The sequence below is a fragment of the Homo sapiens genome, chromosome 16 (genome assembly GCF_000001405.40).
Source record: "Homo sapiens chromosome 16, GRCh38.p14 Primary Assembly".
Lineage (NCBI taxonomy): Eukaryota > Metazoa > Chordata > Mammalia > Primates > Hominidae > Homo > Homo sapiens.
Window position 1 is genome coordinate 6,867,056 of NC_000016.10, and position 19,376 is coordinate 6,886,431.

At 40.0% G+C, this 19,376-nt stretch overlaps 1 protein-coding gene and 1 pseudogene across 30 annotated transcripts in view; both read left to right on the forward strand.

Annotated features, from left to right (window-relative positions):
• RBFOX1 (RNA binding fox-1 homolog 1) overlaps positions 1–19,376 on the forward strand; it is a 2,473,620-nt gene that overhangs the window by 1,627,335 nt on the left and 826,909 nt on the right. Inside the window, exon 1 of one of the 30 annotated variants that reach the window (XM_047434244.1) lies at positions 9,087–9,688. The exons of the other annotated variants lie outside the window; for them this stretch is intronic. The gene's annotated coding sequence lies outside the window, so the exon portion shown is untranslated. Of the gene's footprint in view, positions 1–9,086; positions 9,689–19,376 lie in introns of those variants that run through there. 30 annotated transcript variants of the gene reach the window in all.
• RNU6-457P (RNA, U6 small nuclear 457, pseudogene) lies at positions 6,844–6,950 on the forward strand (annotated as a pseudogene).

Genomic DNA, 19,376 nt, shown 5'->3' on the forward strand with positions numbered 1-19,376 from the left:
TGAGTTTGTATTTAAAAATTTCATTCTAACCAGCAAGAACACTTCCAGTGGGAATTTCTGATAAAGCAGTCAGGTTTTAGCTTGGAGATGTACTAAGTGCAGAAGTTTTGTGAGTTTTCTTCTTGGTCTTGCAAAGAAAAGCATGAAGCTATATAAGTCTTTCTGTAGGGGAAAAAAAAATACTTTTTTTCTTCCTTTTTTTTCCTTTCTGATGAGCATGGATGGAGGAGAGATCCATCCATATTCTGGATCATTATTGGCTCTGATGATGGTTTTGTACAAGGAATAACCTCTCTTGGGGTAGTGATTCTTTTTAATGACCTTTATAAACCAGAATTTTTGTTCATCTGAGAAACTAATGAGGATTAAGGGAAGAAAGGGGGCCGGGTGTGGGGGCTCACTCATGTAATTCCAGCACTTTGGGGGGCCGAGACAGGCGGATCACTTGAGGTCAGGAGTTCGAGATCAGCCTGGCCAACATGGCAAAACCTCATCTCTACTAAAAATACAAAAATTAGCCAGGCGTGGTGGTACCGGCCTGTAATCCCAGCTACTTGGGAGGCTCAGGCAGCAGGATCGCTTGAACCCGGGAGGCAGAGGTTGCAGTGAGTGCCGAGATTGCCTGGGTGACAGAGCACAAGACTCTGTCTCAGAAGGACAAAAAGAAAGGGATCCAACAGATATTTATCAGTTAATGTGTGAATTACCCATGGCATCATTACCTTTAGGTTTGCTCAGAACAAGTCCTGTTTATCCCTTGATCCTGGTGTAATTATTGACATCCCCCTTTCTGCTGACAGGTGTCCCAGTTTCAACGATGTATTATATAGTCATTCCATACTCTTAAACAAGAGAGTAATCAAATATAGAAGCCAAGCGTCCAGAACTATGGCTCAGACAAATTGGCAGTTGAATTTTGATTTCTGTACTTGATTTTTTCTGAGAAGCTGAAACTACTATACTTCAGTTAACTTATTTGCGAAATATAGGTATTATAGTAATGTTTTTGCCGTATGGGTGTTGAGAAAATTAATATGTGAAATTTTGATCAAAGTACCTGATAAATAGTAAATACTCATTTGAAATTAGCAAATAATTATTCCTATATTTTTTTTCATTGAAGTCTTTCAGTGCTACATGTTACAGCCTCCAAGTCATTTAATTTATAGAAACAGAAATACTTCGTGGTCTGCAGCAGTGGACACAGGAAGTGGCTTATAAGAAGATGGACACAGAAAGTGGTTTGCTGAAGTAAGAGGATGGTAAAACAGAGTGGATTCATCTATGATAAGTGTCTATAAAGGGATTATGGATCTAGAGAAATTTCTGTAAGTTTTCTTTTGGGTTAGTGTTCAAATTGGTAAAGTTGCCAGGGCGAGGTAGGAAAGTCACATTCAAGCCAGTGTTTCATATTTATTGGTTTATGATTTTTTTTTGAGACAGTCTCACTCTGTCACCCAGGCTGGAGTGCGGTAGTATGATAACGGCTCACTGCAACCTCTGCTTCCTGGGTTCAAGCAATTCTCCTGCTTTAGCGTCCTGAGTAGCTGGGATTATAGGCACACACCACCACGCCCAGCTAATTTTTGTATTTTTCCTAGAGATAGGGTTTCACCATGTTGGCCAGGCTGGTCAGAACTTCTGATCTCAGGTGACCCACTTGCTTTGGCCTCTGAAAGTGCTGAGATTATAGGCATGAGCCATTGCACCCGGCCAGTATTTCTTAAAGATAGGTAATAAGGTTGCATCTTTTTGCTCCTCGAAAGATGGGCTTTGCCATATGACTTACTTTGACTAATGAAATATGCAGGGAGGTGATGTGACTTTCTCATAGGTGGATGCTTGAAGTGACATTTTGTGAGTTACCACATTTTCTAGCCCTTGCCTTAGAGATTTTGGATACATGAGGTGAGAGAAACCGTCTGTCAGCTCATGTCCCTGAGTGACTACAAAAAACAAAAGTTCCAGCCAACCTGTATTGAGCACATGGTACGAATGAGAAATAAACTTCCATTGCTATAAGCCACTAACTTCAGGGGCTGTTTATTACAGCAGCATTGTGTTGCCCATACTGGCTTATGCATCTTGCCTCTTGCTTACCTGTCATATCTTCTGCTGCTTTGCACGCTCATCTCTTCCTTCCCCCACTTGCCATTATCAGCAACACTTGCTGACCACCTATATGTGCAAAGTGCTTGGTGTCAATATGTTTCTCATAAGAACCTTATCAAGTAAATACTTATTATATCTTGCCACTGCCAGATGAAGAAATGGGCTCAGAGGGTCACTGTTCACAAATCCCATAGTTGTAGGTAGAGAAAGAGTCAAACATGGGTCTTTCAAGCTCCAAATTCTGTTATTAACCACTGTGGTATCTGTCTTGTATTAGGAAGGAGTTCCCTTACTGTCTTTTGAGGTTTTTTTTTTTTAATGTAAATGCCCTGAGTTTTTCAACACATATAAAAGGGTTTTATGAATCCTTTTTGTTCATAAAAGGAGATTAACATTAATTTCTGTGCAGAGTAGGATGAAATAGAGAAAGAAAGAACAGGAAAAATATAATTGGAATCTGTTTTCAACTCTGACGTGTTAGAACTAGGATTTTTACCCTTCTCAAAACAAATTCTAGGACACACATTCATGCAGTTGGCAAAGCCATGTGACTCTAGAGAACCGTGTTGACTGATTGGAAATGGGTAAAATTCTAAACAGCATCAGCTTGATGTGGAATTTCCAATTACTTAATTCTGGTTGGTTTTGAAGACACATGAGCTGACTGCTTCACGGGAATCAGGAATGAAGGGGAATCTGTTCAGAACGTATATGTCTCCCCGCAGTAAAAGCAATTCAAAGCCATAAATTACTTATATCATCTCAGCGTCTTGGGGACTGCTTACTAATCTTAGGACCTATAAAATAAGGGATCAAAGGTAACATTTTCTACGTTGATGCTGTGAGATCTATGCATATCTATCTCTCAGCTGGCCCTACGAGTTTAAAAATTGTTAAACTGACAATTTACTAATCCTTCTTTTTGGATGATGATAATAATGATGATTTTTTGCATAAGGCTCTTGGACCACCTAGTTTTCACAGGATGGTGATGAATGAGTTTAGGGTTTGGCCCGAAAACCTTATTTCATCTAGAATTTTGCAGGCAGAGCCAAGAGAGTTAGCAGCCTGGGGTGGGGCAATGGAGAGAGCATTCCCTTTGGTCGCTTGAAAAAATCCGTGCCTTTTTGTTTGTCAGCACTACTGAAATTCAGCACTGCTAGGAAACAGAAATCTGATATTCCAAGATGCTCCTATTGGATTTTCACATATCTCATTTGCATTTGGATTGTTTCAGCAAGTCTTACCTCACTTCTGATACCTATAAATATCTAAGGTTTTAGTTGACACACGTCTGGCTAGCTTCACAACAAGGATTTAAGAGCTTCATGATATTATTTGCCATGAATAATTGCTAGTGGAACATACTGGATCACCTTGTATAACTTTTGCAGGCTGGTTTTAATTTCAGGTTTGACTGTTACATTGTAGCTTTGCAAAGCAATAACAAATCATAATGTAGATGAGCAGAAACAAAACAAACGATGATGGGAATATTACCATAACCATAATTTTACAGCACAGTTTAATTATTTGGTTCAGTAATGTTGAATAATTATTTCACCACCAAAACTCCTCCCCACCCCAGCCCCTCAACAAACTAAACAACTGTTTCACTACTAGCAACTAATTTATGAGGCAATTTCAGATTCTTATGACTTCTTGTCGCTCTGAGATTTACAGTCACTAATAAAAGGCCCTAACTTTGAGAGACTTGAATTAAAACTCATTTATAAAGAGAATAAAAAATCAGACTTTTTCCATTTCTATCCGTAAGTGTCCATATTCCTGTAGACCTGGATGTAAGTGGATGAAGCCCACTATCCAGTGAATAACAGATGCTCATTAAATATTGGAAAGCAAATGAAGTCATAAATGCGTATAAAGTAGGCAGAGTCTTAGGAATGGACAAGATGACTTATCTTTCTTCTTACATTCTTTAGGATGGAATTTGATGAAGGTTCCTTTCTTTTGTTTTTGAATAAACCAACTGAAGTTTAATTCCATGTTTCAGAAAATCACCCCTGCTTTTTTTGGAGATGGAGTGTTGCTCTGTCCCCCAGGCTGGAGTGCATTGGCATGATCTCGGCTCACTCTAACCTCCCCCTCCTGGGTTAAAGTGATTTTCCTGCATCAACTTCCTGAGTAGCTGGGATTACAGGCATGTGCCATCACGCCTGGCTAATTTTTGTATTTTTAGTAGACATAGGGTTTCAGTATGTTGGCCAGGCTGGTCTCAAACTCCTGAGGTCAAATGATCTGCTCACCTCAGCCTCCCAAATTGCTGGGATTACAGGTGTGAGCCACCGTGCCCGGCCTCAAAATCACTCTTGACTCTTTCCTCTCCCTTATCCCTCATGCCCAGAGATCAACTCCAGTGGTTTATCCCCTCTTAATTACTGACTGAAACTTTTTGCTTCTCTCCATTCTCCTTCTATTCTCCTGGCCAAAGCCACTCTTCCCTCCTGCCTGGAGTGCTGTCAACACTTCTAAACTGGCCTTTCTTCCTCCACTCTTGTCCCCATTAATCTATTCTCCATATACCAGAAAGAGTGATTTTCTGTTACATGATCGCCATCATTCTTGCTGAAATTTCTACTCTACCTTCCGCTGATTTTAGGATCAAGTCTGGAAATGTTGTCAGTGGCCCTCAAAGTGCAGTTGCTGCTTAGCCTATCGTGTCCTAAATCCGCATCTGATGGCACTTTGTCACAATCCAGGCTCTTTGAGAGAGGGAGAGAGTCTGTGTGTGTGTGTGTGTGTGTGTGTGTGTGTGTGTGTGTGTGTGTGTGTGTTTCCCTCGGTAGAGTATGGGGATCTCTGAAACCCTTTGTATACTCAATCCTATTGTTCATTATGATTGTGTGTAGGTATCGTTTCTGGAAAGCCTCTCAGTTACATACCCTTCTTTGTCTTTTCACAGCATAATTGTAATGGTACCTGTTATGTTTTAATATGATACGCTTTCTTTTCCACCAAATGGAAAACTGTGAGAGCAGTACTACGTCTGTCTTAGTCACCAACTTGTGCTCAGCACCTAGCATGGAGACCAGCACATAGTAGAGATTTAATAATTGTTGTGTAAATGAATAAAACACATCTATCCAGTTGGATAACTTGGGGTAGTTTGCTTCTCTGCAGTCTGTCTCCCTCTCTTCCTTCCTCCCTTCTCTCTGTTTCTCTCTTTTTCTCTTTCTCGTAGTAATAATAGCTTTACTATGACCATAGCTCTTTTTTTAATCGATCACCTTTTAACACTTTAAGAACTATTTCTAAAAACTCAACTTAGGAAACAGCTGAATTAGCCCCTTGCTTTAGGTTTCAGGCTTCCCTGAATTCCCTATGATTTTCTTATTTGAAAGTCTGGTTCCTGTTTATATTGGAAACATTCTTTAAAAAAAGATAAGAACGTTTGGAACGGCAACAAAACACCCAATTAATGTGCAACTACTTTGAATATTCCTGCAGTGGCAACGGTTAAAGTAGAATGATTGGACACTGTCACTGCTAGCAAAATTATAATCCAGGGTAAGCTAGATTTAGAGTTGTGTCTCAAAACCTGTGTTTTTTGTCCTTCAGGAGTTAAAAGTGCAAAAAAATAAAATAACTGAGATAAGAGTTGAATTGATGCCTTCGAACAAAATGGTTAAATTCTGTTTGGGTCTTTAAAAGAGTTAACAGAATATAACAATTCAAAGACTCCATGTTCCATAAAAATTGTGCTATTAGGAAGAAAGCCATACTTCTCAGTAACCTCCCTGACACTTGCTCTGTTTTACTTCCCCGGCCGCAGCTGGTCTTGAGTATAATGCCATTGATTTTGAGAGATCTTATAAAGATAATTAGATATACTGCAGTGTGTTCTATATTCTCAGCATTTCTGAGGCTATGCAAAGCCACCCAAACTTCTGAAATATGTACCTTGTATTTCTTACTTGAGAAACTTTTAGTTTCTATGCATTGGAAAAAAAAAAAAAAGCTCTATAGCAGACTTTCCTCCTGAAGCGTGAAGAAGGAATAAACGAGGAGTAGAGATTTTTGCCTCCTTTTTCATTTATGTAAATAAACGTATGAAATGGATTTTTAATTTATACATTAGTTATCTTGGTCCCAAAGCATAACTCTTTTAACACCTTGAGCTTCCTTATGTTGGAGGGGGAAAAAGAGTGCAAAATCATTAGAGACATGATTATGCTTTAATTTAGGTCTTTGAGTTATGTAAGCAGAATGCAATTAAAGAAGAAGTGCTCACTATGACTACCTATTTCAAATAGGCTTTCAATTTTTCAGTTTTATGTGTATCTTCTGCAATTGCATAAAACTTCCTCAAGGCTATGACAGTGGATTATGGCTGTGTTCTTGTAATTATTTTCAGCTTAAAAAAAAGAACAACTTTGCTGCATAAACTATTGAGTTAAACATATTACACGTCTAGTTTTTACTGGGATTGTGTAAGATTTTACACCAGCCATGAGATTCTCTGCATTCATAGGTTTAGAAGGAAAATGTGAGTATTTATGGCATCATGATTGTCACTGTCACTATCATCCTCTCATTGTCGTCATCACCATGAAAATCAGATCCACAAGTGTTATCTTGCTTAATTATTGCAGCAACTCTGTGATCTTTATTATTGCCATTTTCCAGATAAGGAAACCGAGACTTTGAAACATTAAGTAACTTGCATAAAGTCAGACAGCTAGGAAGCATAGTATCTGAAATAGGAAACCATTGCTCACTTTGGCAGCACATATACTAACATTGGAATGATACAGAGAAGATTAGCGTGACCCCTGCACAACGATGACATGGGAATTTGTGAAGCGTTTCATATTTTTAGTAAAAGTAGAAATACCTGTTGATCCATTATCTACCAAAAGGAAAAGAAGTCATTATATGAAAAAGACACTTGCACATGCATGTTTATAGCAGCACAATTCACAATTTCAGAAATATGGAACCAGCCGAAATGCCCATCAGTGAATAAGTGGATAAAGAAACTATGGTGTGTGCATACACACACAAACACATGCTACTCAGCCATAAAAAGGAATGAAATAGGTCAGGCAAAGTGGTTCACACTTGTAATCCCAGCACTTCGGGAGGCTGAGGCAGGTGGATAATCTGAGGTCAGGAGTTTTGAGACCAGCCTGGCCAACATGATGAAACTGCATCTCCACTAAAAATACAAAATTAGCCAGGCATATTGGCAGGTGCCTGTAGTCCCAGCTACTTAGGAGGCTGAGGCAGGAGAACTGCTTGAATCCAGGAGATGGAGGTTGCAGTTAGTGGAAGATCATGCCACTGCACTCCAGGCTGGGCGACAGAGCAAGACTCCATCTAAAAAAAAAAAAAAAAAAAAAAAAAAAAATGAAATAATGGCATTCGCAACAACCTGGATGGAGTGAGAGGCCGTTATTGTAAGTGAAGTAACTCAGGAATGGAAACCAAACATCTCATGGCTTATCTCCCACTTACAATGGTTTTCCATTCCCGAGTTCCTTAACATTGTGTTAATATACTAACATATTCTCGCTTATAAGTGGGAGCTAAGCTATAAGGACACAAAAGCATAAAAAATGACATAATGTACTCTTGGGACTTGAGGGGAAGGGTGGGAGGTGGGTGAGGGATAAAAGACTACATACTGATTGGGTGATGGGTGCATCAAAATCTCAGAAATGACACCCAATGAACTTACCCATGTAAGGAACATTACCTGTTCCCACAAAACTATTGAAATAATAATAAAAGAAAAACATTGTTGAAAAGATAAAATTAGAAACCAAGAAGCTTGGCTTCATAACCCATGTTACTAATCTTAAAAATGATTCCAAGTTGGGCAGAAAATGGGGAGAAGTTGTGAGTGGGAGCAAGTGTGGTCAAGAACAGGGCGAAAAAAATGTAAGGACTCAAAATGTAGGTTGTAATCTTATCAATTGACTGTGTTACCCTAAGTTGCTTATACCATTTAATCATATAATGCCTACAGTGCTTGTGCACATAATCATCTTCTTTGTATTATTATAGTGCTACGGTTGATGATGATGATATTATCACTATTGTAATTCAGGAAATTTCAGTATCTCTGAAGACTCTTCGGTTGTCTAAACAATACAACTCGTTATGGTGGGGGTGCGTTTTTTAGAGAAACATTTATATTTTAATCTGTCCTTTATACACAGCTTTGACCTCTCCTGTCCAATATGACCTACTTCTCTGAAGCTGGTAGTGGTTTTTGAGGTTTCATTTGCAATGTGTGGCTTCTTCCCAGGACTCACACAAGATTCGCTGAGAGTCTTCGAATTTTTTGAATCACCCTTAAGTGCAGTATACATCAATTCAGTGCTCTGGCAAAGACTATGAATTATGTTTATGTCTGAAGCAAGGCCGTGGTTAAGGAAAATAGTAGATGTGTTAAGACCTTGTTTATTTCAGCAGAGAAGGTTAGAGTTGATCCACATCTGGATAAAAATAATTTTAACCTAGGAGAAGTTATATTTTCTTTATACCATAAGCTCCCCTTCTCTGGTAGCCTAAATGAATCAGCGCCACATCTGGGCATGGTGGCCCATGCCTGTAACAGCAGCACTTTGGGAGGCCATGACAGCAGGATTATTTGAGGCCAGGAGTTCAAGACCAGTCTGGGGAACATGGTGAAACCTCATCTCTACAAAAAAATTAGCCAGTCATGGTGGTCCATGCGTGGAATCCAGGCTACTTGAAGGGCTGAGGTGGGAGGATCACTTGAGCCGGGGAGGTGGAGGTTGCAGTGAGCTGCAATTATGTCACTGCACTTCAGCCTGGGCAACACAGTGGAACTTGTCTCAAAAAATAATAATTCCATTTAAAAAAAATAAGCAGGCATAGTAACACACGTCTATAGTCCTAGCATCTCGGGGGGCTGAGGTAGGAGGGTCACTTGATCCAGAAGGAACCCCGGAGATTGAGGCTGCAGTGAGCCATGATTGCACCATTGCACTCCAGCCTGGGCAACAGAGGGTGAAGGACCCTCTCAAAAAAAACAAAGCAAAGCAAAACAAAAAGCATCAGCAACACAATCCATCTTAGATTCCTGACATCCAGTCTTTCTATTCTTGGGAATTGTCCTAGAATCACCCAGTTGCTTCCTGGTCAGCATATTCAATGGACAATGAATGACTTGTTGACTATTCCACCATCAAAGAAAAATAATATTAATACCATCCAACCCCTGAAATGAGCCTATGTTCTATGAAGTAAATTAGCTGAAACAAAGTCACTCTTAAAAATGAAGTGATATCAAAAATCACCACCTTGGTTTTTGTCACTATTTTATCTTCATCACATAGCGCTGTACCTAGCACACAGTAGGCATTTAATATTTGTTTGCAAAAAATTAAGTCACTTCTATAAAAATTAATAGTGTGAGAAACCTTGGACTTTATGATGCACCATACTAGAGTAAAAGACTTGTATCTATTTTTTTTTTCTAAGAGTACATTTCTCACCTAGGGTTCTATTTCTTAATCTTGGCTGGAACCAAAGAAGTTGTTATCTGCCGTCTGATCAAGAGAGAACCCATAGTCCCTGCATTGTAATTTGTGTGCTTTTTCTTATTTATATTTGCATTACAAGAAAACATGAAATAACTGTATCTGCTAAAACTGACCGAAAGATGGATTTCAGATGTGAGCAATGGAAGTGGGATTGGCATTCATCATAGTGTAAATGCAAAAGTGCTTTTAGCCCACCAAGTACTGGGTACACTATTCTGACCTTTTTTCAAGTTTCTCAGTATTTATGGAAGAATAATTTGTAGAATAATGAATATAGTTTTCCAGTGGAGCAACAAATGCATACTATATTTCTGCTATTGTTTCTTATTAAATATTCATATGTATATTTTGTGTTTGCTTCATAACTGGCCATTTACTGGTGCTTAACAAGCATAGGCAGTCCCGCTGAAGAGAAATAACACCAAACAACAGTAAACAAAAAAGCAGACGAATGAAAAAAGATATCTTATTTCTGCAGCCGTTACATTTAAAAAGTGCATTTAACATTTTTAATACAGTCCATATTTCATAAATCCCACATGTTGACATGTCCTAGAGAAAGATGGATGGGTTGACTTGGAGGTATGCTTCTATCTAGTTTTATGTGTGCATCTGGCAGAGCTAATCTTTACTTCCCTTTAGCAGAACACAAAAATGTAATTCTCTAATAACTGACATAACTGCATCATTTTCCAATATGGACTGCATTATTAAATCACAGAGACAAGCAAAACCAGAGTAGTGGGGAAGCTTGACTTCTGCTTGATATCAGACCATAAAATGCCTACTTACTGTGGCCGAAAGGAAAAAGAGCATCGACTCTCAGTGCTTGGAATTCGGAACAACTTCTGAATTCACAGCCCCAGAGTCTTGTGTGTGTGCAACAATAACCGTGTCTTTGCATTTGCATATTGCTTTAGAGTTCACAAAGCATTTTTACGGACAAGCCCATACTGAGAATCAGAGCAAGGATTGCTATTCTCTGTGTATAGTGAGAAAATAGAGGCTCAAAGAAGTTTCCAATATAGTAAGAATTATTTCTGTAGGACTTTTAAATTGTATAAATTGCTTTAACGCATGCAGTTACATTTTGCTTGTGTAACTAGGAGAATAAGTCATCTAACAGTCTTCTTCCTATCCCCAAAATACCCATTCAAAGAGAATAGGGAAAGGATTGCTTCCAGACTAAGAACTTAGGATCTTGCGAATGGTAGTTGCAAAACATACACAGAGTCTTGGATTAGCAAAAAGTAGGGGATAAGGGTTTCAGAGAGCCGAGTCATTGTGCTTAAGCATATAGGAGGAATTTAAGGATGTTGTTGCCTCTAAGAGGGATGGAGCTGAAAGACACACAAGGGTAGGACAGATAGAAGAGAGAATGGCTGAGATATATGGTGGCGTGTATGCAAGGACTTCTAAGAGAAGTGATAGCTAATGTTTGTGTTGCTACAATGTAAATACTTCCACTTCCCCAAGCAATATATTGTATGGTCACCATGCAGGCTCATCAACAAAGATTCCGTTTCTTCCCTGCTGAGCACTGCTTGAAGTTCTTGTGATTTGAGTGAGGCCATGAGAGCAGTTCTGGCTAATGAACTATAAATGAAAGTGACAGGTGCTGGAACATTTTATTGCTGATGCAAGAGTTTCTAGAAATTTCTTATCTCTCTGATATGGTGGCTAGAAATATTTCAGATGATGGATTTTCCTTCATCCAAGATTGCTGAGAGTCTTTGAGAAGCAACACCACCCTGTCTCTTACCACCAAATCCATGATGGACATGTGATATGAGCAAGAAATAAACTTTTGTTATTCCTGGACCTTTTAGATTTTGGAGTCATTTGTTGCCACAGCATCACATGGCGCATCCTGACTGACACATGCAGTGTCCTCATGTGAACATTTTGTTTGTGTGTTGTCAAGGAAAGTCACTGTGGTTCGTGTTAGCGTCAGTTTAATTCAAAGGTAACTCAACAGCAAGAAACAGAAAGTAACAGAAATTCAGCAAGGGCAAGAAATGGAAACCTGATATATCCCATGAGAGTTTAAGGACCCTGACAATCTGCAGAAATTTTAAAAAGTGCTTTGGGCTTTTCACAAAGTATAGAAAGGGGTTTTGGAAAAACCTATTTGAAGTTTTAAGGATCAGAGAGAAATTAACAGCTAATCTTTGATAGTTCTCCCAGTACCATCTTCAAGTTAAAGAAAAGGGTAGGATTTTTTTTCCCCTATGTTAGGGGAGGAAATTAAAACTGAGATAAATAAAATGACTTGTATAAGGTCATGCAAATGCTAATAAGCAAAGCCCAGATTACTAAACCATTTGACCACACGTGTAGTAGTGTTTCAGCCCACTCTTTTAAGAAGTTTTCAGAAAGCCAATGAGCTAATAGCTTGAATATATTACAGTTTGACCTTCATTTCAGCAGGACAGACAAATCATTGACAAAACGGCTGCAAGAATATCAGCCCTTTTAATAAGTTGTCCAGTAATATGATATTTTTATGATTATTCAATGAATTGATTTTTATGGAATTGGCTTTCAGTGAATTTATTTATCAGCCAGTTTTCTGAAGGGCAGCCCAACACTATATGCCATAAATTTTCTTTGCTATAATTAACTTCAGACACTCTGTCTCCTATCTTTCCTAATTTCATCTCTCTCTCTGCCCTGTTTATATTTATTGGATGCTCTGGTATGTAATTATTAGAATTTTCCCTTTACTTTAAAAACTGTTCTTTCATCTTTGTGTGTATCATTGATTGATGACCCCATCATGACCTTAATTGCAATTTACAAACTTACTTGCTACAAAGTTAGGTTAATGAGATTATTCACTATACAGGTAGATTCAACATAAGTTTCCATTATCATTTTTAAAGCCAGTATCATCCACTAAACATCAATATGTCATGCGATGTTTTAGGAGCTTCAAGTAAGGTCCAGTTGTGTTATTTCAGTTAACTATGTTGTACGTCTCTGTTTAATTGTAATATTCTTTTCTGTGGAAGTAAATTCTACCTCTGGATCCTACTTAACAGTGTTCCTGGCTGTTACTAACCCTTCCTCTGATTTGACATTGGAATGGAAGCATTTTTGATGTTCTATTTATGATGTTAAATTTACAAAGAGGTTTGAGACATTTTGAATTATCTCATAAATGTGCAATCTTGCCTCACAGTTAAATCTGATCATTTCTTTTAAAATATTATTTAAATTTTCATTGCATCATTTCTTCTATCTGTTCAGTGGCATTTCTACTTCTTTATTTGTTAATCTTCTGAAATAGTCTTAATCTTTCATACTTGAAGCGCCTCTGTTTCCTCCATCCATGCAAGTAAATTTTCCTCCAGATTCAACTCCTTTCTCCTTAGGGATGTTCCTGAGAGTCCCCTGACCTTTCGAGTTACTTCTTGTCAGTGGCTGGTGTTAGATGCACAGTTCTCTAATCATGGGATATTCCACCTCAATCTGTGTACTCCTTTAAGGTATAAAAGAGCAAAATTTTCCACCGGGGGGTAGCAACATGACAAGAAGGGAAAGAGCAGAGTTAACCTTGGGGAAAAAAATGAGACATAAGGTTGGCTGGGTAGACGAGGCAGCCAGAGAGACAGCCTCTGTTGTTCCTGACCACTGCCTTGGTTTTTAGTATTATACTTTCCACTTCAGTCACTGCAACCCACCGCCCTGTTGCAGGAATGAACATGTGACCCAGGTGCAGCCAATCAGGGTTTGCTCTTCCCCTGTGTTGGTCATTGGTCCAAGGTGGACAAATGATGCAAAAGCTGGGCCAGGTAGAGAGATTTCCTGGAACCTTGCTAGTCAGGTTAGACAGCTTCAGACACGTGAACTCGGAGAAGGCCAGAATCTGTTTTTCTTTCTGGACTGTCTGAAATGTGAACTGGAAGAGGCAGGGTGGGGAAAAAATCAACCCAAATAAAATTAGCAGTAAAGAAATCTAGATAAAAAGAGCACTGAGCTGTATGATGTTCCAGAGTCAGTTTGACTTCTTGGACGATGATTATTTTATGATTGTATTTGATTGCGTTGTATTAAAATTATTGTTATATTTTTATTACAGTATTTCTTATATTATTGAAAGAATAAATCAATATATAAATGTGTTGGAATTGCTGGACAGCAAACTATATACATTTTATGTGGTTGACAGAAATAAGCTACTTGAAGCTGTTGAGCTTGAGCAGAGTGACAAAAAGATGTAAATGCTACATTAGGAGATTCAATCTAATAACAGTTTTTCAAGATGAATACACAGTGAGAGCCTAGGCAGGGCTGAAAAATACGTGGCCCATACCCTCCACCTTCCCCTCCTATGCCTGTGGCAGACATTGCTAATCAATCATGGCACTTTTACCCACTGAGTCTGAGCTGGTCTTACCATGCTTCTCAGTGAAGCGCTCCAGGCAGTGACTATAGATGATCAGAGCTGGCACACAAAATGAAACCCATTTGCTCTCCCAAGCTCACAGGCAAGGAGAATAGCCAGGAGTCTGAGCATGAATTAGATATAAGGTTCCCAAGATTGGACCTAGGTGGGGAGAGAGCAAAGGAAGGGGTAAAACCTATCGTTGACAATATTAGTTTGCTTGGACTGCCATAACACAGTGCCACAGGTTGGGTGGCTAAAACAACAAACAGTTACTCTCACAGTTCTGCAGACTAGAAGTCCAGAATGAAGGTGTTGGCAAGATTGGTTCCTTCTGAGGGCTGTGAGCAAAGGGTCTGCTGCAGGCCTATCCGTGGCTTGTAGAGGGTCAGCTACATAGAGAGCCTGTGTATCTTTACATCATCTTCCGTCTATGCATGTCTGTGTCCAAACATGCATACTCCTCTTCCTGTAAACACTCCAGTCATACTGGCTTACAGCCCACTCTGAGGACCTGACTTTAACTTGATTCCCTCTGCAAATATTCCATCTTCAAATAAAGTCACATTCTTAGATGTTGGCAGTTAAGACTTCAACGTCTTAACGTTGAATTTGCGGGGACAATTTAACACATCACACTGGGTGCCTACCATGAGCCAGGCATGAGCTTATATACCATTATCCACTGGAGCCTCAATGCAACCTACATACTGGGTACTTTTATTCTCCCTATTTTACAGAGCAGGAAACTGAGGCTGAAAAATCTTAAGAACTGTAGTAAAAGTTTCACAGCTGGAGTTGCTGTATAGCAGGATTTAGATGTAGGCTCCTGCTGGCTAATTGACATAGTGTAAAAAGAAGGGAACTTGGTTATGGGTTAGACATAAAGGAGAAATTTTTTTAAAAAAACTAAAATCACCAAAGACTCTAGACTTCATTTCTGGAAAAATGGTGATGTCAGTCTTCCTGCTTAATATTTCAGTGGCCCCCTATTCCCTGCAGGTTAAGATGTAAATTATTTAGCAGGAAAGTCAAGGCTGCTGATGGTCTTAGATGCCTCATTAATTCTGTCTCTAGCTTCTCTCTTCCTGGCCCCTTTGGTCCAGCAACACTGGGCAATTTATTTGCAGTCTCCACCTTAGAGAGATGGAGAGGGAGAAGGCTTGGAGAGAACAGAGGATGATGGGGAGGAACAACCTGTGCACTGGGTCTCATCCTTGTTGTTTGCAATTCTGGCTACTTTTAGCAGTGAGCAGTATAATTACAGTTTAGTCACCTAACCTCTCTGATTCTCTCTCTTCCCAGCCTGGCCAACATGATGAAACCCCATCTTCACTAAAAATACAAAATTATCTGGGCATGGTGGTACGTGCTTGTAATCCCAGCTACTCCGGAGGGTGAGGCAGGAGAATCACCTGAACTTAGGAGGCAGGGAGGTTGCAGTGAGCTGAGATCGCACCACTGCACTGCAGCCTCGGTGGCAGAGTTAAACTCTGAAAATAAATAAATATAAATAAATAAATAAGATCATGTTTGCAGAGTCCTCAGTGCAGTGTCTAGCACTTGGCAGGTACCCATTGGCTGTATGGATAACAACCATTCAGTTTGGGATATTTGGAGTCTGACATAACCAACGGCAACCAAAGAGACGAGTTCCTTACCAAGCCAGAAACGCAAGACCAGGATGCAAGTGGCATTCCTGGGGGGTATCAATTCTCTGTTTCTTTGCCCCTTTTCAGAGGCTTTATGTTCACCCCCAGGAGTGAACAACCATCTTCCTGCTCTGTTCCTATTTTCCATTATACTTACCAGGAGTTATGAATTGAATCAGGATGTCTTAGGCGGCTTCCCCTCCTGCTTTAGCAATCAATAAATTGCCATTTCTAAAGGTGAGATTGTGAATTGTTAAGTCCAATCTGCAGATATTCTAGATAACCCATATGTCTCCTGACATTGCTGTATTCATAGATGGCTTCTCAAACCATTATTAATGATGTAATTAGTATGAATGGCTACAGTATATATCAAGCAGATCATTAAGGCAGAGGTGGGGAGGTAGCCATTTATATTAAAGATACGTTTAATGTTCTGAACCTAAGCAATAGAAAGAAAGTACTTAGCTTAGAAATCTCGCTTTGCTACACTATGGGTTTTCTTTTTTAAAGTTGTCCTAGACCTTCTTTTTGCTTGCTTAATGCTACTTTTTGTTGGAGCCCCTGGGAATTTGAATGAGTTAATAAGGCAGATCTGTTTGTAAAAGAGTATAATCAAGTAAATCACAGCCTTTAAAATCACAGATTTCAAAATCCAATCAACTTAATTAATGTGTTGGTTCATAGACATTGTACAAGATTTTATTTGATTGCACTAGCCGCTTTCTCTTAGACACCCATCTGCAAGAATATTTACTTATAACTTGTTGTGTAAAGGGATCTTCCTAAACGGCACACTGCCATATGTAACTGCTCAGCTTACCTTTAAGAGAAAATATTGAAGTAACACCCTCAAGCTGTTCTACTCTGTGTTCAGAACTTTTCAAAGCTAGATTTCTATCTTTGTAGTAAGTATTGAAACCTTGCCTCCCACATCCAGGCTGTTCAAATATGAGATAAAATAGTTTCTAAGAATGATAGAGTCCAAAAGTTTTCTACAGTTCTTATAGATGTTGTGAGCTGAAAATACATGGGTTAGTGAAGAGGTTTTTTTTTTTCTTTTCTCTATTATTATCTCTTTTTTCCCCCTAGGAATTAATGTCCTTTGTAGTAGCCAAAATGTTAAATGTTTTTAATAAAAGCTGAGACTTAAGTTAGAGGGGAACATCTTTACCCCAGGTACAAATGACGTTGCTACTTGCCACGGTCCAAAGCGCAGAGGAGATGGGGAGATTGTGAAAACTGGGGAGTCACACACAAGGAGGGGGTGTTTTTTGTTCTTCTGACAAACTGATCCTGTTAAGCATCCACTGCAGAGCGGTGGCTGCTGTGTTATGCAAGCACCTGCGATGCGCTGCAGAAGAAGAGAGGCATCTGATGCTCGACCGAGCAGAGCTACTGCAGACAGAAGCTGCTTCCGAGGCCCCTTCTGCTCACAGGGCATGCTTCCTGGCTCATGTGCAGTCAGCCATGCTGCAGAGGCCAGGGACCCAGGGAGCGTGGCAATAAGTATGTGTCCAGCTTTCCAAACTCTGGGTACTGTGAAGCAACTGCAGCTCTGAGCCTTGCTTAACCAGGGCTGGGGACCTGGCAGCTTCTTCCAAAGTCACTTGACAACAGTTGCTCTGCCCTCAGTCAATGCAAGCAACCACTTGTCTACAAAAGGAGTGAGGACAGTAAAGTCTCTGCCTTCAAGGATCGTACTGTATTCTTATTATTAGTGGCTACAAACTGTTAAGTACCTACCATTTGCAAGGAACTGTGTTGATGACATGTTACATGTACATCATCTGTTACATTATCATAAGACCTCAAATATGTTTTATTACCCCCATTTTGAAGAGATTAAAAAACAAAAAAAACTAAATTGGCCAGGTGTGGTGGCTCACACCTGTAATCCCAGCACTAGGGGAGGCTGAGGTGGTGGATCACTTGAGGCCAGGGGTTCCAGACCAGCTTGGGCAACATGACGAAACCCCATCTGTACTAAAAATACAAAAATTAGCTAGGTGTGATGGCACATACCTGCAGTCCCAGCTACTTGGGAGGCTGAGGCAGGAGAATCTCTTGAACTCAGGAGGTGGAGGTGGCAGTCAGCCCAGAGTGCTCCACTGCACTCCAGCCTGCATGGCAGAGCAAGGCTCTCTTTCAAACAAACAAACAAAACAAAAAAACCCTGCAAATATTAAGTGTTAAATCGTAAAACTGAGACCGCAACCCAGATCTATCTTATTCTAAAGCTTTGGTTGTTTTCATTTCAATAATTACTGTCATGTTTTAGAAAAGCAGCAAAACGTTTATTTAATATGAAATCTCCTGCAGAAACTGATACAGAGACAGATCAAACCAGGACTGCTCTGACTGAAACGGAAGGAGGAAAGTCTCAAGCTCTGACTGGACCGCCTCCTCCTTCCCTAATTCCCAGGTAGTAATTCCCAATGACTGAGCCATCACTTCAGAAAACTAGAACTGTGGTTTTTCAGATGTGGTCTCCAGTCCAGCAGCGTCAGCATCACCTGGAAACTTGCTACAGACGCGTGTTCTCTATCCTCGCTGCAGGCAAACTGAGTCAGAAGCTCTAGGGTTTGGGTGTCTCTGATTTAAACAAGCCTTCGGGGGGTTGCCGAAGCATGCTCATGAGTCAAAACCAAGAATTTACAAAACCCATTTTAATAACAGCTGAGTTCTATAGTACCTTTCAGTATTCGTAACAGTGATTCCTGGAGACTTTCTTGACAAAGTCCAGGATGGTGCATTAAATCTACTTCTGCATTTTATTTTTTTATTTTTTTTATTTTTTTTGAAATGGAGTCTTGCTCTGTCATCCAGGCTGGAGTGTAATGGCACAGTCTCGGCTCACTGCCACCTCTGCCTCCTGAGTTCAAGTGATTATCCTGCCTTAGCCTCCCTAGTAGCTGGGATTACAGGCCCCTGCCACCACACTCAGCTAATTTTTCTATCTTTAGTAGAGACTGGGTTTCACCAGGTTGGACAGGCTGGTCTCGAACTCATGCCTCAGGTGATTCACCTGCCTTGGCCTCCCAAAATGCTGGGATTACGGGCATGAATCACTGCACCCGGCCTTAGTCATGCAATTTTTATTTTAGAGAAATTCTAGAAATGGATACTGTTTACTCAATGCAGCATTGGAGAATGAACGTTGACTTTATTAACCCAATAATAAAATAAAATGATTTCTCTTGATTTGTTTGCTGTCAAGAATCACAAACCACATGGACTTGAGAAAAGTGAAAGTTATTAACGAGATTTCATGCATCAAGGATACTGTTGACTGTCCAGTGAAAGTATTTTTTTTTTCTTTTTTTTTTTTTTGAGACGGAGTCTCGCTCTGTCACCAGGCTGGAGTGCAGTGACGTGATCTCGGCTCACTGCATCCTCCGCCCCCAGGGTTCAAGTGACTCTCCTGCCTCAGCCTCCTGAGTAGCTGGGATTACAGGCGTGTGCTACCACGCTTAGCTAATTTTTGTATTTTTAGTAGAGACGAGGTCTCACCATGTTGGCCAGGATAGTCTCGATCTCTTGACCTCACGTGATCTGCCCACCTCGACCTCCCAAAGTGCTGGGATTACTGGCGTGAGTCACTGCGCCCGGCCCAGTGAAGCACCTTACGTGTGTGTCACCATTGAGAAGAAAGGTTACCAAATAAATTTTGTCCCGCTATTG